Source organism: Homo sapiens, chromosome 13 (genome assembly GCF_000001405.40).
Source record: "Homo sapiens chromosome 13, GRCh38.p14 Primary Assembly".
In the NCBI taxonomy this organism is placed as follows: Eukaryota; Metazoa; Chordata; class Mammalia; order Primates; family Hominidae; genus Homo; species Homo sapiens.
The window spans coordinates 75,587,897-75,615,453 of record NC_000013.11 but is presented as its reverse complement, the minus strand read 5'-3'; the positions used below and the strand labels follow the sequence as shown (position 1 = coordinate 75,615,453).

Here is a 27,557-nt window from a genome sequence, read left to right as displayed (position 1 = left end):
TAGCAAGAGGATATAACAATTGTAAATATTTATGCATGCAACACTGGAGCACCCAGATTTACAAAGCAAATATTTAGACCCTAACACAATAATAGCCGGAGACCACAATACCCCTCTTTTAGCACTGAACAGATCATCCAGACAGAAAATCAACAAAGAAACATCAGATTTAATGGGCTCTGCAGACCAAATGAACTTAACAGATATTTACAGAATATTTCATCCAACAGCTATAGTATACACATTCTTCTCCTCAGCACATAGATCATTCTCAAGGATAGACCGTTTGTCTTAAAACATTTTAAAAAATGAAATAATATCAAGTATCTTCTCTGACCACCATAAAATAAAACTAGAAATCAGTAACAAGAGGAATTTTGGAAATTATACAAACACATGGAAATTAAAGTGTGTTCTTGAATGACTAGTGGGTCAATGAAGAAATTAAGAAGGAAATTGAAAAACTGAAACCAATGATAATGGAAACACAACATACCAAAAGCAGTACTAAGAGGAAAGCGTATAGCTCTAAGTGCCTACATCAGAAAAGCAGAAGAACTTCAAATAAACAATCTAACAACTATTCTTAAAGAACTAGAAAAGCAAGGGCAAACTGAACCCAAAATTAGAAGAAATAATAAAGTTTGGAGCAGAAATAAATGTATCTGAAACAAATAAAAAAAGATCAATGATACACAAAATCGGTTTTTTGAAAAGATAAAATTGACAAACCTTTAGCCAGACTTGCATAAAAAAAGAGAAGACTCAAATAAAGACAGATATGAAAAAGGAGATATTACAACCAATACCCCAGAAATTCAAAGGACCATTAGAGGTTACTATCAGCAACTATATGCCAATAAATTGGAAAACATAGAAGAAATTGGTAAATTCCTAGACACATACAACGTAATAAGATTGAATCATGAAGTAATCCAAAATCCAAACAGACCAATTACAAGTAATGAGATTAAAGCTGTAATGAAATGTCTCCCACCAAAGAAATGCCCAGTACCTGGTGGCTTCATTGCTGAATTTTCCCAAATATTTAGAGAAAAACTAGTATCAATCCTATTCAATCTATTCCAACAATAAGGGGAGGTGGGAATAATTCCAAACTCTTTCTACCAGGCCAGTAATACCCTGATACCAAAACCAGACAAAAAAAAAAAAAAAAAGAAAGAAAGAAAACTACAGGCCAATATCCCTGATGAACATTCATGTAAAAATCTTGAACAAAATACTAGCAAATCACATTTGACAACCCATTAAAAAGTTCTTTCATCATCACCAGGTGGGATTTATCCCAAAGATGCAAGGATGGTTCCACATATACAAATCAATCAATGTGATAAATCATATCAAAAGAATGAAGAAGAAAACATATGATTATTTCAATTGATGCTATAAAAGTATTTGATAAAATTCAACATCCTTTCATGATTAAAAAAATCTTTAAAAACTGAGTATAGAAGGAATGCACCTCAACATAATAAAAACCATATACAACAGACTCACAGCTAGTATCATACTGGATGGAGAAAAACTGAAAGCCTTTCCTCTAAGAACTGGAACATGACAAGGATGTCCACTTTCACCACTGTTATTCAATATAGTACTGAAAGTCCTAGCTACAGCAATCAGGTAAGATATAAATGGCATCCAAACTGGAAAGGAAGAAATCAAATTTTCCTTATTTGTAGATGATACAATCTTATATTTGGAAAAATCTAAAGATTCCATAACAATACTATTAGAACTGATAAATTCAGTAAAGTTGCAGGATACAAAATCAACACACAAAAGTCAGTAGCATTTCTATATGCCAACAGTGAACAATATAAAAAAGAAATAAAAAAGTAATCCCATTTACAATAGCTCCTAATAAAATTAAATACCTAGGAATTAACTTAAGCAAATAAAGATCTCTACAATGAAAATTAAACACTGATGAAAGGAATTGAAGAGGACACCAAACTATGGAAAAATATTCCATGTTCATGGATTGGATGCATCAATATTGTTAAAATGTTCATACTACCCAAAGCAGCCTGCAGGTTCAATGTAATCTCTATCAAGATAGGAATTACATTCTTCACAGAAATAGAAAAAAAAAATCCTAAAATGTATATGGAACCACAAAGGACCCAGAATAGCTATCCTGAGCAAAAAGAACAAAACTGGAGGAATCACAGTACCTGACTTCAAATTATACTACAGAGCTATAGAATCAAAAGAGCAGAGTACTGTCATAAAAACAGATACGTAGACCAATGGAACAGAATAGAGAACCCAGAAACAAATCCGCACATCTTCAGTGAACTCATTTTTGACAAAAGTGCCAAGAACATACATTGAGGAAAGGACAGTATCTTAAGTAAATGGTGCTGGGAAAACTGGATATCCAAAGCAGAAGAATGAAACTAGACCCCTATTTCTCACTATATAGAAAATTCAAACAAAATGAATTAATGACTTAAATCTGGCTGGGTGTGGTGGCTCACATCTGTAATCCCAGCACCCTGGGAGGCCGAAGAGGGCAGATCACTTGAGGCCAGGAGTTCAAGACCAGCCTGGCCAACATGGCAAAAAACCTGTCTCTACTAAACATACAAAAATTAGCCGGGCATGGCGGCGTGGACCTGTAATCCCAGCTACTCAGGAGGCTGAGGTGGGAGGATCGCTTGAACCTGGGAGGCAGAGGTTTCAGTGAGCCAAGATAGCACCATTGCACTACAGCCTGGGCAGATCAAGACTCTGTCTCAAAAATAAAAAAGAGAGAGACAAATCTAAGACCCTAAACTATGAAACTACTACAAGAAAACACTGGGGAAACTCCAGGACATTAGACAGGGCAAAGATTTATTGAGTAATAAATACCTCACAACCGCAGGCAACCAAAGCAAAAATGACCAAATGGAATCACATCAAGTTAAAAAGCTTCTGCATAGCAAAGGAACCATCAACAAAGTGAAGAGACAACACAGAGAATGGGGAAATATCTGCAAACTGGCCATCTGACCAGGGATTAATCACCAGAATATATAAAGAGCTCAAACAATCGGAAAAAATATTTAACAATCTGGTTTTAAATTGGGCAAAAGATCTAAACAGACATTTCTCAAAAGAAGACACACAAATGGCAAATATGAAAAGGTGCGCAACATCACTGATCATTAGAGAAATGGAGATCAAAACTACGATGAGACATTATCTCACCCCAGTTAAAATGGCTTTTATCCAAAAGACAGGCAATAAAAATGAGGATGTAGAGAAAAAGGAACACTCATACACTGTTGGTGGGAAAGTAAATTAGTACAAACACTATGGAGAAGAGTTTGGAGATTCATCAAAAAACTAAAAATAGGACTACCCTATAATTTAGCAATCCCATTGCTAAGTATACATACAAAAGAAAGAAAATCAGTATATTGAAGAGATTATCTGTACTCGCCTGTTTAGCGCAGCACTATCCATAACAGCCAAGATTTCAAAGCAACCTAAGTGTCCATCAATAGATGAAAGGATAAAGAAAACATGGTACTATACAGAAAGGAGTGTTATTCAGCCATAAAAAGAATGAGATCCTGTCATTTGCAACAACATGGATAGAACTGGCAGTCATTCTGTCAAGTGAAATAAGCCAGACACAAAGACAAAATTCTATGTTCCCACTTATTTGTGGGAGCTAAAAAATTAATTGAAACAATTAAACTCATGGAGATAGAGAACAGAATGGTGGTTACCTGAAGGTGGGAAGGGTAGTGAGGGAGTGGGGATGGTTAATGGGCACAAAAAAAAGTTAGAAAGTAGGAATTAGTATTTGATACCACAACAGTGTGACTATAGTCAATCATTTAATTGTACATAACTAAGAGTATATGTGGACTGTTGTAACACAAAGGATAAATGCTTCAGGTGACAGATACCCCATTTACCCTGATGTGATGATTCCAAATTGGATGCCTGTATCAAAATATCTCATGTACCCCATAAATATATACACCTACTATGTACCCGTAAAAACAAAAAGTTAAAGATTTAAAAAAAAAAAGAAGTCACTTTCACTTGGCATTTCATGCACCATTTAAAAACAAACAAAAAAAAAAAAAACAGGAGATGCCTACTAGTCCTTCAAAAACTAAAAGCCTTCACTGGAATACTTGTAACAACTGACGTACATGCTTTAGTCTTCCAAAATGGGAAAAACAAGGTAAAAACTAAAACCATGAAGTAAATAGTTTGCTTTAAACATTCTTCAAGTTTATATTGCCCATAAGCCATGTTTTCTAAAGTTCTTAAAATCAGTACTTTTGTGCTCTTATCTTGAATACTTCAATGTACCTGATTATAGTACCAGAATGTGGCTATAAGAACTAATGTCTCTATCATATTAATATAAAAAATATTTAAGGTATTTGCATTTTGTTTTAAAGTCAACTCTTCAGAAGAATACATCTTTTAAGTTATACCCTGACCATGAAATATCATGTTTTGGTCTTGATGGCAAAAAATATGCACAGAGAACATTCCCTGTCATACATTCCCTGCACACTAGGATAAAATGTATATTATTTCTGTAGTGGTGGAAGATGGGAGGAACTTCTGGTTTCAAATACTTAGTATTCAGGGAGAATAAAGAAAATAACCCTGTGGAAAAATACTTTCTTGGCTTAGCCACACAGGAAAATTCAGATGCAATTTTTTTTTTTTTTGTCATCTTCTCCCACAGGTGAACTCTCAGTAAGCAATGCAATTTTTCATCAGACAGGTTTTACTACATTTTTTAAAGAACAGTCTAATTTACAACCTTTGCATGTGCTTCAAGTTTTTCATGTTTAAGATACAAATATAACCTCAAGCAATTTGTTTTCATCTTGTAGTCATAAAACATGTGCAGGACACAGAAATCCTTTAGCTCTTAAAGGACACACTATTAAACATAACTTATTTATCTGAATATCAACTATGTTTACATGTTGATAAAGAGTATAGTTCTGAACCAAATAATTAAATTGTGCCATTCATATCACTTAGCTGATTCTTATTTTAAATAATTCAAGTTATATTCATATCTACCTTGTAGATTATAAGAGCTACATTATATATTTCTAAGCAATTTTAAATTAATTTTGCAAAGTAGTTTTCAGTATAGGTCATATACATTTAGTGTCCCTAAACCAGGGGTTTCCTGATCAATTAGACAATAAGGAATTGCTCGTAATATCCAGCCTTTGTCTTTATAACCTCCTATATAATATCTAGTTGTGGCCTCTGGAAAAATGTTGTACTGAGGACCCTCACCTATCAAGTAGGTAGAAGCAACAGACAGGTTCAGAACCACTACCCTAAACAAAGAAGTCAAGAGAAAGATTTAGAATAACTTTTATTCAGAAGGAAAACAAGTGAGAATATGCATGAAACTGAGGCATGTTAGGTTGGTCTGATCAACTGGCACCAGTGGCACAAGAAAATTAATGCCCTTCATCATGTGGAATCTTCTACAACACAATAGTTTATGTATTTTAAGGAGGTAAACTTTTGAAAATCAACAGAAGCAAAGGAAATGACAAAACATTTGCTGCTATCTGAAGAGTATATTCCACACTTCGTTTTTAGTAGCAATGTTGTTGAGAACACAAGGAAGCTCATTTTAAGATCTTACCAGGGAATCTGGTAACATTAACTATTAAACTTTATGTGTATATAAATCCCTCTAAATTAGTTCTAAATACCTTATATAATGATTACAGTTTTTTTTTGTTTGTTTGTTTTGTTTTGTTTTTTGAGACAGGGTCTTACTGTCACTGGGGCTGAAGTGCAGTGGTGTGATCTTGGATCACTGCAGCCTCCACCTCCCAGGCTCAAACAATCCTTCCACCTCAACCTCCCAAGTAGCTGGGACCACAGATGCACACCACCACACCCAGCTAATTTTTGTATTTTTAGTAGAGATGAGGTCTCACCATGTTGCCCAGACTGGTCTTAAACTGCTGGGCTCAAGCAATCCGCCCACCTCTGCCTCTCAAAGTGCTGGGACTACAGGTGTGCTGGGACTACAGGCATGAGCCACCATGCCCAGCTGATTACACACTTTTCTAAGTGGTTTTACTTAACTTCAGTCATGGATTTAAATAAGATAGAGGATTTAAACCAAGGTTATTTGCCTTTTCAAGGTATGCATGTGTGAATGTGTGTACATATATATACATACACACATATATATACATATATATACCTACATAAGATTTACCTAAAAGAAATAAATTTCTATGAATAGGAAAGTTCTAAAAAAGTGATGGAAATATGCCTCTTTCCAATTCTTACCAGCACCAACAGAGGAATCATAAGCCCTATAATGCTTCTTTTGAAAGATACAGTAGTAGACAAACATTAATGTCTAAAAATACCTTTTAAGCTCTACTATTTTCATTAAATAAGCAGGTTGTATGTTATACACAGCCCAGTGATAAAGCTTATCAAATAAGGCTTGCACACAAATCAAAGATGGAATAAAATAAATTTAAATCAGATTCGTTCAAATATTTTTATAAGGAATCAAAGATAGTTTTCATTTAAGATAGCTTAAACTTCGACTTGCCATAGAATACAGGTAATTTCTGCTTTACTCACAAATGAACATTGAAAATATTCAGGTTAAGTATTATGGGGCTTATAAAAGCTCATCTGTTTCAGTAATTTAAAGCAAACCATTATACCCAGTGAAAGATGATGTTCTCAAAAGTCCACCAAGCAAAAACATTTAGTTCTAGTTCTCATTTTAGTTCTATTTTCCCCGCTATCACGGTCATTAACAGCAGTATACAGAAATAACCCACAACTTATCAAACTTAGTGTCTCCACGAGTTTTCACACAAAGTAAACTATTAATCTTTTCTACAAGTGCCAAGTTTTAAGAAAGTGACTAAACAAAGTATTGTAGGGAATAGAGTTGAGAACTAGAAGTTTACACATAAACCTAAGAGAGAAGCAAGAAAAGTTTTCAAGCTGTCTGTTCCACAAGGGACTACCACCTTAAACTGTGTGCCAAAGAAGGCTAGCTCTAAGTGCTGCTCCCTAAAATGTTTAGAAAATGTTGTTCATAATACATGGAATATTTTTTGAAAAAACTGAGGCATTCTATAATTGCCCCCCCTCCAAATATACCTGTAACTTTCAAAAAAATTGTTTAACCCAATATTTTCAAGATACTTGACTTCAAATCTTTCTTACCCATTAAGAGTCCTGCAAAGTTAGTGTTTCTCACAGCATATTTTGAGAAACTATGTAAATTCTAGGTAATGTGCCACTGATTTAGGATCTATTAAGAAATCATATAATTAAGAGAAATCCAGCAAGGCAACAGGCAGAAAACTGCTTAGGAATGTTTAAAATATTTAAGATAACACAGAAAAGATAATGTAACAAGAATAGAATATGTGGGTCGTTATTATTGGTATGGTAAGCATCATCTGCATATACAGTCTATCAAATTGTTTCAGATTATTTTTTCATCCCTATTGCCAACATTTCACCCATGCCCTTTTCACTGTAGAATAATGGTAAGCTTAAATATCTTCCGAAGTTATTTTCCTCGTTATAGTCTATTTTTCTAATCTAGTGCTTCCCAAACTTAATTTATTGCTTATGAATAAGAAGGGATCTTGTTAAAAATGCTTAACTAATCTAATCTAGTGCTTCCAGCTTAATTTATTGCTTATGAATAAGCAGGGATCTTGTTAAAAGGTTTTGGGGGTGGGGTCTGAAATTTCCCATTTCTAAGAAGCTCCCAGGTACTATGATGCAACCACACTTGAGTAACAAAGATCTAATTCATTCTAAAAGCCACGCCTTACTACTCTTAACTCAGTGAATTGTGCGTAAACATCTATATTCAATTACTGGTCAAAAACTTCATTCTAGACCAATCTGGTTTTTCTCCTATTATACTCATTTCAACCCAACCCTGGTTTTTTTTCTTAAGATAAAATGTATGTAAAGTACAGATTTTAAATGTACAATTCAGAGTTATGATAAATGCATATTCCAAGTAACCAACTACTACCTCCCCCTACTTTAGGTAAAATGCATATACAGTGAAGTACAGATTTTTAATGTACAAGTCAATGAGTTTTTATAAATGTATATACCCGAGTAATGGCTATTCCTCTCCCAAAAAGATATAGAACACTGTCATCACATCAACTCTGTGTTTTGGCCCAACTCTATAAATGCCCTTTCACTTTTCTACTGCCTTTCCACATATCCTTAAAGACTCAATTGAAGCCCTTCCTTCTTCAAAGCACAACCAAAATTCACTCATGTACCACCATCTAAATTTATTTATTATTTTTGAGACAGGGTCTCCCTCCATCACCCAGTCTAGAGAGCAGTGATACAATCATGGCTCACTGCAGCCTCAAACTCCTGGGCTCAAGCAATCCTTCCCGCCTCAGCCTCCTGAGTAGCTAGGACTTACAGGCATATGCCACCATGTCCGGCATTTTTTTTTTTTTTCTTGTAGAGATGGGGTCTCACTTTGTTACCCAGGTTGGTCTCAAATTCCTGGCTGCATGCCTCAACATGTTGGCATTACAGGCATGAGCCACTGCACCTGGCCTCTATCTAATCTACCATTTTTAAGGCCCAGCCATCATCATCCCACTGAACAACTACAGTGGGCACCTCACAGGTTTTTCTACCTCTATTCTTGCTCCCATCCTCAATATATTATCCATGGAGTTGTCAGAGGGACCTTTTAAAATTACAAATCAAAGCAAGTTCCTGTCCTGCTTAAAATTCTCCAATGGCTTACCATCACATTTGCAATGAATCCAAATGCCTTTTCCTGTATCAAAAAGCCCCTACTTTTCTGACCTCATCTCTTGCTACTTTCCCTATTACTTTCTATGTTCTGGCCACTTGAACCTCCTTCCTGGTCCTACAATACAGCAAGATGTTCCTACTTTAGGGACTCCACATTCATTACTTCTTCTGCTCTTCCCCACCACCTTTATGACAGGCTTAGTCATTCAGATCTCAACTTTAAAGTCACCTCCTCACAGAAGCCTCCCTGACAACAAAATCTAAAGTAGCTGCTCGGTCATTCCCTAACACAAATCCTATTTTAATTCTCCACACAGCATCTATCATTGGTATTTATCTTGATGTGTTTGTTACTTATCTCTTCTCACAATAACATAAGCTCCATGACTATCACATTTTTCAACAGCGTTCTATGCTTTAACTTCTGAACCCAGAATGGCATCCATCTCGTTACAAGTAGACGCTTCACAAATGTTTTCTAAATAAACATGTTAACATAGATAATATATATTCATGTTATGCAGATGGAAATTGTGCCTAGTATCCCAATACAAAATTTCCTGTAAAATCTAAAAAGAATAAGAAAGCTATTGCTAGTTTTCAAACAAGATAAATCCTTCACAAGAAAAGAGGAGGAAAGCATTGCACCTTTAACCTGGAGCAAAAATAACATAAAACACAGGTTAAGGCAAAGTTTAACTCACATAAAGTTTAATCATCAAGTTAATGAAAATATCAAAATTTTTGAGTTAGTGTATGGCAGAGAAAATTTAGTTGCAAATAATACAGTTTTTGGTGTTTCCATTATTGACAAGCTATGCTGCAGAAAGAGCAATCGCATTAAATCTTAGTTCATCAGGGTCGCGCTCCATAAACTTCTTGCAAACTTCTATGGCATCCTATGGAGGAAAAAAAAAAGTATGATTTTTCAGTGTAAAAGTGTTTTACTTACAAATGATAAACATTTCATATTTTTCTAATTCATACTAATTTTACACTGCAAACTTCCTTTTCCAAATGAGAAATAAAGAACACCAGAAAAGTGAACATGGGTGCCCTAATTTGCTTTGTACAAAAGTATAAGATACAGTAAGTTTTTGTTTGTTTGTTTGTTTTTTGAGACAGAGTCTTGCCCTCTGTCACCCAGGCTGGAGTGCAGTGGTGCAATCTCGGCCCACTGCAACCTCTGCCTTCCGGGTTCAAGCAAATCTCCTATCTCAGCCTCCCTAGTAGCTGGGACTACAGTCACATACCACCACACCCAGCTAATTTCTATATTTTTAGTAGAGATGGGGTTTCACCATATTGGTCAGGCTGGTCTCGAACTCCTGACCTCAGGTGATCCACCCGCCTCGGCCTCCCAAAGTGCTGGGATTATAGCCGTGAGCCACTACGCCTGGCCGTAAGTGTTCTTAAAATGCTATTAAGAAACTTTTCAACTAAAAATCACGTTTCATTGATTCTAAGCCACACAATTTATTCATGTTTTAAAATCTCTAAAATCAGGATCAAGATACAATTAATGGTATCCTGGATTTGATGAAATCTCGGATATAATGAGCAAGTCTTTCAATACTATTCTTGCCTTTTCAATTTTTACATTTGTTCATAGAGCTGTGAAAACCTCTTTATTTGTTGTAGATTTTTAACACTAATATAAATTTTCTTTTTGGATTTTCTAGAGAGAACAAGGATAAAGAAGTATCCAAATACAAAGAAAATGTTATGCAAGTGACCTTTAGAGATGTTTTAAAGATGACAAAATATTGATGAAGATGGGCCAACAAGTGTTACTGTTACCTCTAATAAAGTTTCATCACTAGTTTCACCATGGTTAATTGGAAATGGCTTCCGCCCATCTGTGGAAAACAGACAAACAATTGAATGCTTAGCTGTTTTTACAGGATAATGTGCTTTCAACTTCCATTTTCCTCTTCCCCCAGTGAGGCAAGAAAAGTTAAAAGCCATTTTCAATAATATATCCTAAAACAAATGTTTTAATGTGCTACCATGAATATTTTTTATTAAAGGTTATTAGTTAGAACTTTGCTTCCATATTTGAAAGCCTAAATTATCTTCATGAACGGAATTTATTACAATGCTGGCTTTCGTTTCCTGAAAATAATACGCAAAATTATTGTCAGTTTTTTAAAAATTATCACCCCAGCTTTTATCCTTGGAAATTAAAAAAATTTCTTTTTTCACTTTAAATAGGAAGATCTCAAGTAAGACAGACATGTTTAAAACAATGAAAGGGAGCTACACTGTCATGGCTTATACAATACTACTATTAACTGTGTACTATCAATGCAGTAATATAGAGGAATAATCCAAATAACCCAGGGTTATTTTACTGACCACCAAAATAAGCAAATTCACAATCAACTTAAATAAACTAGTACTTTTTCAATATTATTTTTTAAGAAGTCCAGAATTATTTAAACTCATGCTAACCCAAAGTCAACTGACAATTATATATCCAAATCCATAATCTCAGATGTCTTGTAAGTGGCTCTTCATTAAGTTCAATCCATAAAACACAGCCCCTTCTACGATTCCATGGTTTCTAACCATAATAAAAATTTCTGAATATGCATCTAGTAATAGACTTGGTTGTTAGATTTTTTTTAAAAAAATGAATGAAAATCAACACATAAATTCATCTCCATAAAAAGTAATATTAATTTCTATAAATTATATCATCAGAATTTGTGATTCCTATTTTTGGACTAACATTGAGATAAATATTCAAAATCCTAAAGAAACTTATCCCTAAATTACAATGCCTGGGACATAATTCCTAAAGTTTCTAAGAACCTTTAGGAAATATTTTCCTGTAACTATATTACACATGAACACTTAATTATCCATATTTCTATGAACTTATACTATCTTTCTAAATTATAATGTATATTTCTCAATAATATATCATAAAATGTCTTCTTAAAATATCCTTTTGTGGTAAATGCTTATTCTTCAATAGACTATTCTATGTTTATATGACTATCACATTCATTATGTGCCACCCCATTTTGTATTATTTTTTAATGTTTACATAAAGGCAAAAGTATAAGTAAACAATGTAGGCTGTTCCCTCCCTAACCAAATTATAAATTAATATATATTTTTTCCTTTTGTATTTTTCTTTCTTCTATTTAATTTAGAGACAGGGCCTCACTTATATTCCCCAGGCTGAACTTAACCTCCTGCGTTCAAGCAATCCTCCTGCCTCAGCTTCCCAAGTAGCTGGGACTGCAGGCACATGCAACAGCACCTGGCTTAATATATGTATTTTCCTGGTTTCCATCATTTCTGTGTGTGTGTCATTCATGAGACTAAAGAGCTAATAAACTCAGTTATGGCTGGGTGTGGTGGCTCACACCTGTAATTTAAGAAGATTGCTTGAGGCCAGGAGTTCAACACCAGCCTGGGCAATACAGTGAGACCCCACCTTTACAAAGAATTAATAAATTAGCCAGGTATAGTGGCACAAGTCTGTAGTCCCAGCTGTTTGGGAGGCTGAGGCAGGAGGATCACTTGAGCCCAGGAGTTCAAGGACGCAGCAAGCTATGATCATGCCACTGCACTCCAGCCTGGGTGACAAAGTGAGATTCTGTCTCTAAAAAAATAAAATAATAACATAATAAAATAAAAACAAAAAATGGCAGTGAGCAATTTTCCTTTGAATGCAGCTGTTTAAAGTAACATATAATTAATTTCAATTATTATAGACTAAGATTGTTAAACAACTGATCCTGAAATGTCAAAACCGTACAGTCTATTTTTATAATAGCAGTATAGAACAAAGATTAATTATGATTTTTACTGTTATTCTAATCCATGGGCCAAATCCAGCCCTCAGTGTATTTTTAATGCCTCCTTTAAGCTAAGACTGGTTTTTATGTTTTTAAAAGACAGTATGTAGCCCACAAAACCTAAAATATTTACTACTTGGTCCTTCACAGAAAAATTTTGCCAAAACAATAAAATGTAAAATTTGCTGTTGTTCCAAACACTACTACCACAAAACTGTCACTTGCCAACAACTTTGCGTGTAATTTCAGTAAATGCATACGCTGCAGATGAATCCATGAGGCTCAGAGACTGTCACACTTACAGGCCCCTTCTAAAAGAGGCAGGAAAAAGCTGCACCTTGTACATGGGTCATGTAACCTAAAAACCCCAGTCCAAACGGGCTGTGCCACTTCCAGGCTGGACGGGGAAGAAAATAGTGGCCTGACTTTTTGGTAGTAACTAACCAATTCATTCAGAACTTGTTTTTTGCATAGTGTGATCACAAGCCCCCAGAGAAAGGTGACAACAGAGTTGTACAAGAGACAAGCGACATGACAAACATCACGAGATGCTTTTTGGTGCAGATAACTGAGTATCAGCTACTGTCAAATACCCAACAATGGCCAACGACGTGAATGATGGAGCTTAAAAAACAGAGACTATACAGAAATAAAAACTGTTTTACTGGTTTTGTTTTTGTTTTGTTTTTGTTTTTGTTTTTTTTGAGACAGAGTCTCGCTCTGTCGCCCAGGCTAGAGTACAGTGGCACAATCTCAGCTCACTGCAAGCTCTGCCTCCCGGGTTCACGCCATTCTCCTGCCTCAGCCTCCCGAGCAGCTGGGACTACAGGCACCCACCACCACACCCAGCTAATTTTTTGTATTTTTAGTAGAGATGGGGTTTCACCATGTTAGCCAGGATGGTCTCGATCTCCTGACCTTGTGATCCACCCACCTCGGCCTCCCAAAGTGCTGGGATTACAGGCGTGAGCTACCACACCCAGCCACAGAAATAAAAACTTTTTAAAAATGTACAGGCTTAAAAAAGAGAGACTATACAGAAATTAAAACTTCTAAAAAATGTACAGGCATGCCTGAGAGATACTGTGGGTTAGCTTCCAGAATACCACAATGAAGCAAGTATCACAATAAAATGAGTCACAAATTTTTTTGTTTCCTAGTGCATATAAAAGTTATGTTTATATTACTCTGTAGTCTATTAGGTATACATTAGCATTATGTCTAAGAAAACAATATACATACCTTAATTAAAAAACACTTTATTCCTAAAAATGCTAATGATCATCTCAGCCTTCAGCAAGTTGCCATCTTTTTGCTGATGGAGGGGCTTGCTTTGATGTTGATATCTCCTGACTGATCAGGACGGCGGTTGCTGAAGATTGGGGTGGCTGTGGAAATTTCCTAAAATAAGACAATAATGAAGTTTGCCACATTTGACTCTTTCTTTTATGAAAGATTTCTCTGTAGCATGTGATGCTGTTTGACAGCACTTTACCCACAGGAGAACTTCTTCCAAAAATGTTGTCAATCCTCTCAAATTCTGCTGCTGCTTTATCAACTACATTTATGTAATCTTCTAAATCCTTTATGGTTTGTGGTCATTTTAACACTGTTCATGACCTCTTTATTAGGAGTAGATTCCATCTCAAGAAATCAGTTTATTTGCTCATCTTTAAGAAGCAACTCCTTACTTGTTCAAGTTTTATCATGAGATTGCAGCAGTTCAGTCACATCTTCAGGCTCCCCTTCTAATTCTAGTTTTCTTGCTATTTTCATGATATCTGCAGTTACTTCCTCCAATGAAGTCTTAAACCCCTCAAAGTCATCCATGAGGATTGGAACCAACTTATTCCAAACTCATGTTAATGTTGATACTTTGAGCTCTTCCCATAAATCATGAATGTTCTTAAGGGCATCTAAAATGGTGAATCCTTTCCAGGAAGTTTCCAATTTACTATTCTCAGATCCATCAAAGCAATCACTGTGGCAGCTATAGTCTCACAAACTGTATTTCTTAAATAACAAGAAATGAAAGTCTAAATGATTCCTTGATCCATGGGCTGCAGAATGGATGCTGTGTTAGCAGAAATGAAAATATTAATCTCTTTGTAAATATATCTATATCGGACTTCTTGGATTACAAGGTGCATTGTCAATTAGCAGTAATATTTTCAAAGGAATCTTTTTCTGAGCAGTACGTCTCAACAGAGGGCTTAAGAGATTCAGTAATCCAGGCTATAAATAGATATACTATCATCCCGGCTCTGTTGTTCCATTTATAGAACATAGGCAGAGAAGATTTAGCATCATTCTTAAGGACCCTAAAATTTTCTGAATATCAAATGATCATTGGCTTCAACTGAAAGTCACCGTCTGCATTAACAAGACAATCAGCCTGTCCTTTGAAGCTTTGAAGGCAGGTGTTGACATCTCCTCTCTAGCTACAGAAGTCCTAGATGGCATCTTCTTCCCAAGAGAAGGCTAGTCATCTACATGGAAAATCTGTTGTTTACGTAGCCACCTTCACGGAAGATCTGAGCTTGATCTTCTGGATAACTTGCAGCTTCTCCATCAGCATATGCTGCTTCACCATGCACTTTTATGTTATGGAGATGACTTCTTTCCTTAAACCTCATGAACCAACTGCTAGCTTCAGACCTTTCTTCTGTAGCTTCCTCACCTCTCTCAGCCTTAACAGAACTGAAAAGAGGTATGGCCTTGCTCCAGATTAGGCTTAAGAAAATGTTGTAGCTAGTTTGATCTTCTATCCAGACCACTCAAACTTTCTCCATATCAGCAATAATACTGTTTTGCTTTCTCGTCATTCATGTGTTCACTGGAGCAGCACTTTTAATTTCCTTCAAGAACTTTTCCTTTGCATTCACAACTTGGCTTATTGTTTTGCACAAGAGGCCTAGCTATCAGACCATCCTGGCTTTCAATATGCCTTCCTCACTAAGCTTAATCATTTCTAGTTTTTGACTTAAAGTGAGAGACGTGTGACTTGAATGCTTACAGGCCTTTGTAGGGTTATTATCTGGCCTCATTTCAATATTATTGTGTCTCAGGGAATAGAGAAGTTCAAAGAGAGGAAAAGAGATGGGGAAATGGCTGGTTAATGGAGCAGTCAGAACACATACATGAAATCAATTAAGTTTGCCAGCATATATGGGTATAGTTTGTGGCATCCCAAAACAATTACGGTAGTAATATCAAAGATCACTGATCACAGATACCATAACAGATATAATAATAAAACGTTTGAAATGTTGGGAGAATTACCAAAGCGTGACACAGAAACACAAAGTGAGCACATGCTGTTGGAAAAAATGGTGCCAATAAGCTTGCTCAAAGCAAGATTGCCATAAACCTTCAATTTGTAAAAAATGAAATATATGTAAAGTACAGTCAAATGAGGTATTCCTGTATTATTACTATCCTTAAAATGAGGAAATTCTACATACATAAAAGAACAGAATGCCATATTTTCAAATGCTATGCAAACTCAGAGAACAGAAGAACTCTTAAAAATTAAAACTATGGCCTGTGTGCAGTGCCTCATGCCTGTAATCCCAGCACTTTGGAAGGCTAAAGCAGGAGGATCAATTGAGCCCAGGAGTTCAAGACCAGCCTGGGCAACATAGCTAGACCCCAATTTACAAAAAAAAAAAAAAAAAATAGCCAGGCATGGTGGCACAGGCCTACAGTCCCAGCTACTCAGGAGGCTGTGACAAGGGGATTGCTGGAGCCCAGGACATCAAGGCTGCAGTTTGAAGGGGTTCCTTTCAAAGGCCAAGTCTGCAGTAATTTGAGCATAAAAATACATGATATCATGGATTATAATCATTCAAGTAAAGTAGGAATCCATGAGTCCATTCTGATTATAAATGAATAAATGAGAGGAAAAGGAAAGCTTCTAATGTTGGGGGAATTTTTTTTTAATTGCCATTTGGCAATAGTCATAATGATAATCCAGTCAAGAATAATCAATGGATGCAAAATCTGGAGGATAAAAGCTTGATGAGCAACTGCATGACATACTTCTTAACTTTATTGTGAAGAAACTACCTAAAAGTCACTAAACATCACCAGTAATGGGGCAAATTGACATCATGTGCCTCTCGATATGATGCACTGAGAAGAACGCAGCATTATTTCTGCAGTTATTCCTGCCAAAAATGCATAAATCATGAGGATAAATCAGATGGCCTAAATTGGAGGATAATCTCAAAGTAACTGGCCCTATACTCTTAAAATAAATGTTACAGTCATGAAAGACAAGAAAGCATTCTGAGGTACTGTTCCAGATTAAAGAAGACAAAGAAACATGACAAATTCAACACATAATCCTGGATTGGCTCCTGAATAGAGGACATTATTGTGATAATCAGGAAAACTGTAATGGGGTCTGTGGATCAGATAATACTGGATCAATGTTATAATAATTTCCTGATTTTGATATTCATACTATAGTTATGTAGGAGAGTATCCACTTGTTTTGAGAAAATACACACCGAAGTTTTAAAGATAATGGGGCATCATGTCTTCAACTTATTTTCAAATGGCTCAGAAATATGAATTGAATCTGGGTAATCTGTGGGAGGATGTATGGGAGCTCTGTATACTATTTCTGTAACTTCTACAAACATCTTAAGTTACTTCAAAATAAAATTTCTAAAACTGCTTCAAAGTATTCCTGTTACTTCAGGTAGACAATAATTTATTAGTTAATGGTTTTTTAATCTGATTGTTCAATCAGTTCCAAATCCACCTCTAAATCCCAATGCTCTACTCTATATCCACAAGGAGTCATTTTATCTATTTTAAAATATGTACTTCTTCCCCTTTACATATGCCAGAAACTATATGAGGCCCCAAGGAAAAGGGAGGGTGATAACAAAAGAGAAATAACTCAGTCCTTTTCATTGGTTAACCTTACAATTTATTAGAGTAGGGAATTAATACATTAAAGACTACCACCATTCTCTGTTAAATATAGATATCCTATAGAAATTAACTTGCACAATGTCTACAATCATACAGCCTTATTTTTAAAAATAAAGTTACAGTCATCTCTCCATATCTGTGGGGGACTGGTTCCAGGACACCGGCCCCATCTCATACCAAAATTTTGAGATGTTCAAGCCCCTTGACATACTCTACCTAAATGGTATAGTATTTGCATATAACCTACACAATTCCAAATACTTTAAATCATCTCTAGATTACTTATCATACATAATACAATATAAATGCTATGTAAATAGTTGTTATGTTGTTTTCAAAATTTGTTTTTTATTGTTGTATTGGTATTTATTTTCTAATACTTTCAATCCACAGTTGGTTGAATCTACCAATGCAAGAACCCACAGAGAGCAAATTGAACTTTGAAATGACTTCTTTCTTAAAAGTTATATAGTGTCTTCTTTTCTTTTTTTTTTAAGAGATGACGTCTTGCCATGTCACCCAGGCAGAAGTGTAGTGGCTGTTCACAGGTGCAATCATAGCACACTGTAGCCTCAAACTCCTGGGCTCAGGCAATCGTGCTTCAGCTTCCCACTACAGAAAGTGGGACTACAGGAACACACCACTGTGCCCAGTGCTAATCTCTTAATCATTATTTTCTACTCACTAACTCAATACTCTTCTTGCTCAATATTCCTTTTGAATTTATTAGATCTGCATCAGAGTTACTGCCAGTTTCCTTTGCAATGAATCAGCAACTGTCCATCTTTGTAATGTACCTATTATTGCTCTGACATCTCAAAGATTATGGCTATTCTTTACCACTCTGAAATTATTTAAACTCATTTAAAAAATCTAATTTCCAGTAGGCTTCTAATTTTCCATCAGATCATTCTTCTTGATAAAGAATATCTAAACCAAACAAGACCTCAGTAGTTCTGCCTTTGTTTTATGAAGTTCTTACTTCAAACCAATTTTAAAATCCTTTTGTGTTGATCTTGGCATGCTCCAAAAGAGCATCATTCTTCATATGTAGCTTACCCTTGATATATGTCCTTCCTTCTAACTGCCCTTTTAGCCTCTGAGCCAAGACAGCTCTCTAACTAGTAAAACCGAGTTTTTTTTTAAGATAACTCTTTCCTTCCCATTGAGATCATTAGAGAGGTTTTCTTTTGGTTTAAATATATTTTAGATGTTATTGTTTGCTCTGTAAGTCTCTCATTCTGAAAGTCACAATCAGATTTATAGTCTCTGGTTATGAATCCTACATATGTTTGCTCTGGCCAAATCTACTTTCTTGAAGTTAACAGAATGTGTCTGTTAAGTCCCAGCACTCTTTATTTCCTCTTCCACTAGTTATTATTTACTATTCACAATTCAGAGTAGAAAATCTGCTTCCAGCAACCACCCAGACATCTGAAGTCCCCAATCACTGTTATACTTTATCTCTGCAGATTTTGTAGACTCAATTAGCAAGGCACATCTTCAAAACTGTCCTGGAGGTCCATTATATACTACCAAAATAATGACTTCTTCTCATTTAAGTTTTATTACTCCTCAAATCACTCTAGTATTGTAGACAACGCTCAGGGTTGCACATTTTTATAAATACTATGTTCTTTCTTTTCCTTGTCCCCTTTGATAGGGCCATTTCTTTTTAATAAAGTATGCGATCTGTTGCTAATATTCCAAACACAAAATCCACCTAAATTTTATGGATCACATTTACAGTCACAATCTGTGTTCTTTCAAAATCTTCTATCTTTATACAACTTAAAATTAATGTGACAAGGTAATATATAGACAGCAAATGAGAGGTAATAGAACCAAAACTCACGGTATCTAGAATTACTGAAAAGAACTTCTCTTTTTTGTTGTTTATTTGGCTTTTTTAAAACTCGAGAAGGTCTTATGGAAAAGAATAAGAAGAAGTCATAATAAGTATTGTATACCAATTATGAAAAAATTACAAGAAGTTTATTCTGTCTGAGTAAATTATGTGATCTCCTCCAACATGCCATGAAATAGTCCACTGAAAGGTAAACTTAAAAAAAAAAAAAGTACAGGTATAAGCCAAAATACCAAGTAACTAATCATGGGTACTCTGACATATGCCTGAAGAAAACAAAGGCTCCTGTAAAGTCTTTAAAAAATCACAGGAACATTACAAAACCCTGAAAACTAGTGACACTCAGCCCAATCATTACAACTATTACGCTCTTTTTTTTTTTTTTTTTTTTTTTTTTTTTTGAGATGGAGTATCACTCCTGTTGCCCCGGCTGGAGTACCATGGCACGATCTCGGCTCACTGAAACCTCCACCTCCTGTGTTCAAGCGATTCTCCTGCCTCAGCCTCCCAAGTAGCTGGGATTACAGGCATGTGCCACCACGCCGGGCTAATTTTGCATTTTTAGTAGAGATGGGGTTTCTCCATGTTGGTCAGGCTGATCTTGAACTCCTGAGCTCAGGTTATCCGCCTGCCTCAGCCTCCCAAATATTACACTATCTTTTAAAACTAAAGGTTGTTCAGCCAGATATTGATGATAACCCACTCAATAATTTTGTAATGATTGCCAGAGAGATTTGAAGCAGTTCCCTGTAATGGTTTTTACTTTCTTGCTTTGCTAAAATGCGAAGATGGTATGCAAACATTTTTGAATTATAAGTTGCTTAAACATAAAATAACATTTTTCTAGTAAACTGTCTTAAAAGGAAAACTGTCGCTATGTCAAATCAATTTTATAGGCAACCAGTTAATTTAAGTAAACACAATAAATATCAATAGTCCTGTTTATCATAAGTAGAGACTTTCCCATTTACCATTTCTCTCCCCAGGACAAATTAAAATAGTTCTTACCTAATTCATAGAGATGCCCATCTACATGAACTAATGCAATAAAATGAAGATCTACTTTCTCATCTATACTTGGTGCCTGGAATAGGAGGGAAAAATAGGTATTATATACATTAGTAGTCAAACAAATCAGTCATGTATACATAAACACATACAAATAACATCAAATTATATAAGAGAACATTTATCCAATATAATTCAAGGCTTAATGTTTGGTATAATGGACAAAGAGTGACCATGCCTGTGTTTGTGACAATGTGCTCAGTTATCGGCAAAGAAAACAGTGACTAAAAGCACAACTTTCTTAATCTCAACTATCTAAAGACCAAAAATTGTGTTCACCTTAGAAGCCTCAGCACTTAGCACAATGCCTGGTATACAGTATATGCACATTGCATACTTACTGAATGAAATGAATACATGAACTGATATGTATGAGTTTTTAAAATTTGAAATAAGAAAGTTAAAATATTTTTACACCTAACAGCTTAAAGAAACTCTTTTCGAGTTAAATTTTAAGATGTCAAAAGAGATGTTCCCTTAAAGACTTGAACTTGATAATCTGATGTTTCAACAGTGCAGTGTAAACAGTCTTTGAGTAAAATAAGCATTTTAACCCACTCTGGATTTTAAAAGTTTAAAAATGAATAATGCAGGAAAATAGCCTAGGCGATTAAAAGGAAGGGAAAAAAGATAAGAACAAATTAAAGTACAATTCACAGTAGCCTGTGATTTTTCTCTTGCTTTGATGCTTAACAAACAATTTGAAATTAAGACTAGATCTACATTTCTTTAGCTTACCAATCAATTTGCATGAGCAATATCTACATTTCTAAGGCATTCAAATAACATATGCAAAGTCGATACATTGATTAACTGGCACTTCCTATGATATGTAGTAACTATACAGCTAATATTAATATGAGTTAGCTATACATCAAATCTAAATGGTTTGAAATGAAATACAATCACTGTTAAAAATGCAAATAGAGCACAAATTTTAAAGGAAAAGTTTTCAAATGGCATAAATCAAATTATATCTCAGATTACTTAATATCCTTTCAGTAACAGATAGTATCTTAAATAAAAAATTATATTCTTTTCATCCTCAAGTAAGTATATATTTTCAAGTAGTTGTAATATGAAGTTTTCTGATGCAGATATTGAAAGGTACAGAATAAACATTACTATCTTGGATATACAGAATGTTTCTAAAACATTTATATATAGTGTTTCACCTAATCTCACATTATTCTTCAGAGGTTATTTCCCTCAAATTATGAACGGAAGAAATTCAACATAAACTGATGTGGCAAGCCAGCTCTTCTAGCTTCACTCTAGAACTACAGAATTCCACAGGTGTTAGCAATCAGAGTTATCTAGTTTTATTGTTGCTCCAGTACTGCACTTCTCCATCCTGTGGTAGCCCCTCTAATGCCAGAGGCTCCTCCGCTAGGTTTTGAGGCAGTCCATTCCATTGTTAGACAGTTTTGTTAGAATTTTCCCTCATACTGAGGCTAAATATGTCTCCTTGTATTTTCCATCATCTTAGAAAAAAGTCTAATCCCTCCTGAACATATTTCTTTAAATATGTGAAGACAGTGATAATGAGTTCCCTTACTTTCCTGGTCAGAGAATCAAAAAATATTACTGGCCACCTCAGTCTAATATCTCCATTTATCAATAATCAGAAGAGAGTCCAATTTTTTAAGGCTAAACCTAGGCAATTATATAAACTGTAACTTTAATTCTATAATAAAAAAGGCTATAATGAATTATTCATTCACCTAGGAAAGAGTCTTCCTTTTACTCATTTTAAGACAATTTTCCAACAGGATATGAAATACTCTAAATCTTTTAAACTTTATGCTTTCATAAATTATTAGTTACCTTAACACCATCTCTTCTTAAGAATTACACATCTTATAGCTTCTATTTTTTATATTGTGCCAGTAAATACAACCATGCTAGAGGTAAAAGTAGTACAACTGGAGTCAGAGAACTGAATATGGACCCAATCCCTGTAAGCCTTGGGTTTCTTATCCACCTCGAGGTTTAAATGAGCTGCATGAAAGTACTTTGTAAACTGTTAAGTGTTATATAAACCTTATGTATTACTCCAATAACAATACTACATTATTGCAAATGTAAGCAATTACCAAATGTAGTGACTCAAAATTGTGCATCGTTGCACCTTTAATCTAAAAGTGCATACTAAAAATACAAAATTCTAAAAAGGGTATGAAAAGCCTTCAAACTATTATAAAAGATAAGCAAAGCTCAAAACTTCTAAGCCTTCCACAAAACCTCAGAACCTGTGATAAGCCCTTTCCTTCAGTCAGCTTCAATTAGTCTCAGAGTCTAAAAATCTGTAATTATTTAATTGCTTAAAAGTTATTCCACTAAAAACAAGAAAAATAAATAAAAAGCAAATTTCAGCAAGTCTTGTTTCAAAAAATGACCAAGAAATAACTACACAAAGGGCAAAAAAAAAAAAAAGGCTATAGATGGGATCTTTTTTCCTTCATATATATATATATATATATATATATATATATATATATATATATATATATATGAAGGAAAAATTAAAATTCCACTTTACATCCAAACACCATTTTGGCTTTGAAGCTGCTGCCTGATATTGACACTTCATAGATGTAGTATGACTATTCTTGTATGTCTCTATCTACTGATAAGGATCCTACTCTTTTAGTATAAATAGTACCATTGACTTCCAATCAATTAGTTTTGATATATATATCCCTAATTTAGAATGCAACACTTCTTAGTTAACTCAAAGAATTAAAAAGTGATAACAAATCAATTAGATATAAATTAAATACTAAATATAAATGTCACATTAAAATATACACTAAATTTAATGTATAATTGTATAGCACTTAATACATACCACCAGGCACTGTTCTAAATGTTTTATATGTATCAAATAATTAATCATCATACTGGTTGAGCATCCCAAATCCAAAAATCTGAAATCTCAAATGCTCCAAAACCTCAAACTTTTTGAGCACCAACAGGATGTTCAAAGGAAATGCTAACTGCAGCATTGTGGATTTTAAATGTTCTGGCTTGAGATACTCAACCAGGTAAGTCTAATATAAATAATCCAACCAAAATCCAAAACACTTCTCATCCCAAGCATTTTGGATAAGAGATACTCAACCTGTATAAACCCAATAAGGTACGTAATATAATTATACCCATCTTACTCTTGAGAAAACTGAGGCACAGAAGCATTAAGTAACACGCTGTAGGTCATATAGCTAGTAAGTGGTAGAATCTGGATTCAAACCCGAGCAGTGTGCTTCTAGAATCCATGTTCTTTACTACTAAGCTACAAAAACATTTAAAGCTATAAGGCAATGGAACTAATATGGAGCCAAGATCAACATTATATAAAAGCATATAAAACAGGAAATGCCAAATTTTATATGTTCATTTATATTTGGAACATTTTTAAGTAGAAAAGAAATAATTCACATTAGAATTGGATCAATTGTGCTCATGTCAGAATTTACACCTTTAGGATTCTACCCTGGTCATTTAGTTCACCTTGTATCTCTCACTGTGTCAAATGGCATATGGCACAGTAGAGAAGCAACAAATATCAAATGGATGAACGAATAAAAATGAAGAATGTCGTGACCCAATGAGGATAATGAAATAGAAAGAGATGTGAGTTTGTTGATACTCAGCAGAAATGGAAAAGTATTTGATGACCATACTGATATTTGGTGGAAGCAAATATTTAAGGAAAGATACCACTTCACAGTTTGAGTATAACACTAGAAGGGTAAATAAGGGGAAGGAAAGAATGCTTGCCATTGACTTTTAATTGTTCTTAAGCATTAAATGTACGTGTAATCAGACTTCCTCCTCTGGCTTCAAAAGCCATCATAATTTATAGAAATGTCAAATTTCTTATAAATGTATGGCACACACCAAAGCTTTAAGATATTCCATTTCTAGGGAGGCTCTGCCAAACCACAGTCATTGCCTTTAATAGTCCAAAACATCAGAAAGACAAGAGCTGTAGTTGCTTAATTCTGTAGTGTATCTCAATTATGATAATTACTAGAATTGCATCATCAGTCTCAACATTTAAGATAATTAGCAAGATTATAAGAAAAATGTATTTTTAATAGTTTGCAGATATCATTAGCCTATGAAAGAGAAATCATAAATTTGTGGGAAGCCTACATCAATACACAAGGAGAAAATCTTCATTTCCTACTTGGAAAAGATCTTTAGAAACTGAATAGGCAGGAAAGATCAGATCAAGATTAAACCAAGTACCTGAGCCACCTCAGGGAATAAAATAATAGCTTAGATGAAACACCCTACACCATGAAGGATTTAGATTGAGAATAGAGTAAGTAAAGTAACCCCAGAGCATGGCAAGAGACTAAAGTCATGCTCAGAAACATAAAAAAATAATAATAATAAAGTAATAGATGGCAAAGAACTCAGAAGGTACACAGCATTTGTTGACCTGAGTCAACTAAATGAATTCAGAAAGCTGAAGGGTAACAGAACACATATTCACTTTAACAATTAACCAGACTTAAACATTATCATGAATGTGGATCAGTGCTCATCAAAAGGCAGGTGCCGTTATGTTGGCAGGATATGGAGTGGAAAGATGGATGTTCTGAGGCACTGGCAAAAGTCAAGCTAGAATGCAAAGCATAGAGATATGCTTGCAATCTTATTGGGGGAGAAAAAGCTAATGGTTGAGTGAACCAAGAGAAAAGCACTCTGAAGACCGAAGTTAAGAAAAAAAAAAAAAAAAGACAGCCCTTGTCACTGGAAGAAGAGACGGAAGATTGACTAAACTTACAACAGAATGGAGACCCAAAGATGGTAGACGTAAGAAGGGTCGCCAGCGACGAAGACGGAGAGATGGACTGGTAGCCTTTGCAGGGCCTACATGGTTACGTTTGACCCAGGGCAGGGATGCATGGTGACACAATGATGAGGCCTTCGTTCTGCAGTGGCTAGAATGAGGCTGTGATGAGGATGGCGAGGAGGACTACATAATTAAAAAAGAGAATATTTTACTTAGACCACGTTACTGGGTGATCATTTATTCTTAAAAGCAACGTATGGTCATGCTTGTAATTCATATGGTCTACTATTTTTAATAACCATAATCTATCTAGCAAAGGATCATGTATGAATATTGGTTAAAAGCAGGTAAAGTGGAAATATATAACCAAGTATCAGGTTATATGCCATAGTTCTATATGTGTACATTGATAATATTCACATATCCTCATTTGCATAGCACAGACTCATGGAAATTAATATGTAAAAGCCACTAAAATTATTACATCAAAATGTTTTTAAAAAGTAACACACACACAAAAACCATGTAACGCATATAAAATGCACAAAGAATAACGGGTAGAAGAAAACTGTGTGGTGATAGGCATTGGTAAAAAAGAATTCCTTAAAAGGAATAAGCTCCAAGAAGAAAAAAAAAGCCAACTTTAAAATATAAACAAGAGTGAAATTAATTCCTCCAAAGCTGACGATCTGAATAAACTATCCTCCTACTTAGGCTGACAGGTTACATGGAAAATATCATGGCCTCTTAGCTATCTTTTAGGAAACAATATCATTAAATATAATACGCATCTTTTTTTATGCCAGGTGCTTTTTAAGGACTTGACATATATAGGTTCATTTAACCTTCCAGTAACCCACAGGCACAACTATTCCTGTTATGCAAATGAGGAATCAGAGCACAAATGGGTTAAGTAACATAACCAAGGTCACATTGCCAGTAGGTAACAGAACCGGGATTCAGACCCAGGAAATCAAGTTCTAGAGTCCAATGATCTTAATCACTGTGGTGTAAACCCAAAGTGACCAAGAAAAATATGTTAATGCTAACATGGGACACATACTGTTAAGGAGAGAAATAATTCTGATAAGGTTAGGTATTTTGGGAACACCTTTTCAAACACTATTGTACCACAAAAGGAAAATCTAGCCAAGAGTTTTCTACAAAGTATACAAGGGTATGATAACATAATAGTAGTAATCCAAATGACTTCATAATTGTCACATTGGATTAATAACACCAGTATATAAAATAAAAAATTTGAGGGAGTATGACAAAATTACAATCACTACAATCATAGTGAGAAGAAATAAAAAGAATGGTAATATAAATCCTTGCTTGGTGATAATAGATTTTGCTAACCGTAACAACCATAATAGATTTCTCTTAAGGAACATGAGTTTTACTTTCCGAATGATTTTTAAAACTCTTGTCAACTGTGAAAATTCTCTAATCCTACTTAGTACCTTCAATCTAAATATACAATATACTAACCTTTAAAAAAAGCTATCATTTTGATGCGGGGTTAAAAAATATGTTTGAACATTTTAGCGGCTCATAATAAGAATCAGTCAATCAAAAATACATAAATGAATCCTATACTTGATTCTATATGGGAACAAAAGTGTATATGATAATGTCTTCTCTCACAGATATAGTTTAATAAGAAATTTGTCACATTCAATCTGGTTATGTTCAAATAACAGGAAAGAGAGAAGGAAAGAATAGGGGAAGAAGAAAGAGGCAATGAATAAAAAGGGGAAATAAATGATGTAAAGGAAGAGATAGAAGGAGAGGTGACTAATAAATAGTGGAGAAAAAAATTTCTAAGAATCTAGAGAGGGAAATATTACTAAACCAGCATTGTATACTGAAAGAATATATAAAGTTGGGATGGGTGAAATGGGAAAATATTCTTGGCAAAGAATTCAGTGTGAGAAAAGAACAGAAATAGAAATAAGGAAGACATGTTTAGAAGAGTAATCTGTCAGATCTGAAATTTGAGTTTATTCTTTCAATTTAATCAGTTAGCCTCTTACTTTTTCATGGGTATTGGCAAAAGGCATGAGATGCCTGGGTCAGAGAAAAAAAAAAATTATTACTTATAGCACAGCAAGGAGCATGATCATCAATACGTTTGTGGCAATTCACATGAGAGCAACAGACAGAGCTAGGGTGGATGGTTGCAAAAGAATAGGCTGTGTTACAAGAGAGGAATACTGAG

General features: G+C 34.8%; 1 protein-coding gene and 1 long non-coding RNA gene across 13 annotated transcripts in view; one reads left to right on the top strand and one right to left on the bottom strand.

Annotated features, from left to right (window-relative positions):
- Positions 1 to 10,754, top strand: part of LMO7-AS1 (LMO7 antisense RNA 1) — a 31,295-nt gene extending 20,541 nt beyond the window's left edge. For all 3 annotated transcript variants that reach the window (NR_120412.1, NR_120411.1, NR_120410.1), the window contains one exon: positions 10,509 to 10,754. This is a non-coding gene — a long non-coding RNA (LMO7 antisense RNA 1). The remainder of the gene's footprint in view (positions 1 to 10,508) is intronic.
- The window catches only part of UCHL3 (ubiquitin C-terminal hydrolase L3), a 56,519-nt gene continuing 38,395 nt past the window's right edge, over positions 9,434 to 27,557 (bottom strand). For 3 of the 10 annotated variants that reach the window (XM_011535214.3, XM_011535212.2, XM_011535213.3), the window contains 4 exons: positions 25,325 to 25,516; positions 20,464 to 20,539; positions 10,627 to 10,685; positions 9,434 to 9,725 (listed from right to left, as the gene is read on the bottom strand). In XM_011535214.3, the coding sequence (XP_011533516.1) occupies positions 9,642 to 9,725; positions 10,627 to 10,685; positions 20,464 to 20,539; positions 25,325 to 25,516 (411 nt within the window). In that variant the 3' untranslated portion in view covers positions 9,434 to 9,641. Of the gene's footprint in view, positions 9,726 to 10,626; positions 10,686 to 13,651; positions 14,043 to 17,560; positions 19,515 to 20,463; positions 20,540 to 25,324; positions 25,517 to 27,557 lie in introns of those variants that run through there. The other 7 variants (NM_001270952.2, NM_006002.5, XM_017020727.2 and 4 more) reach the window with 5 other exon arrangements.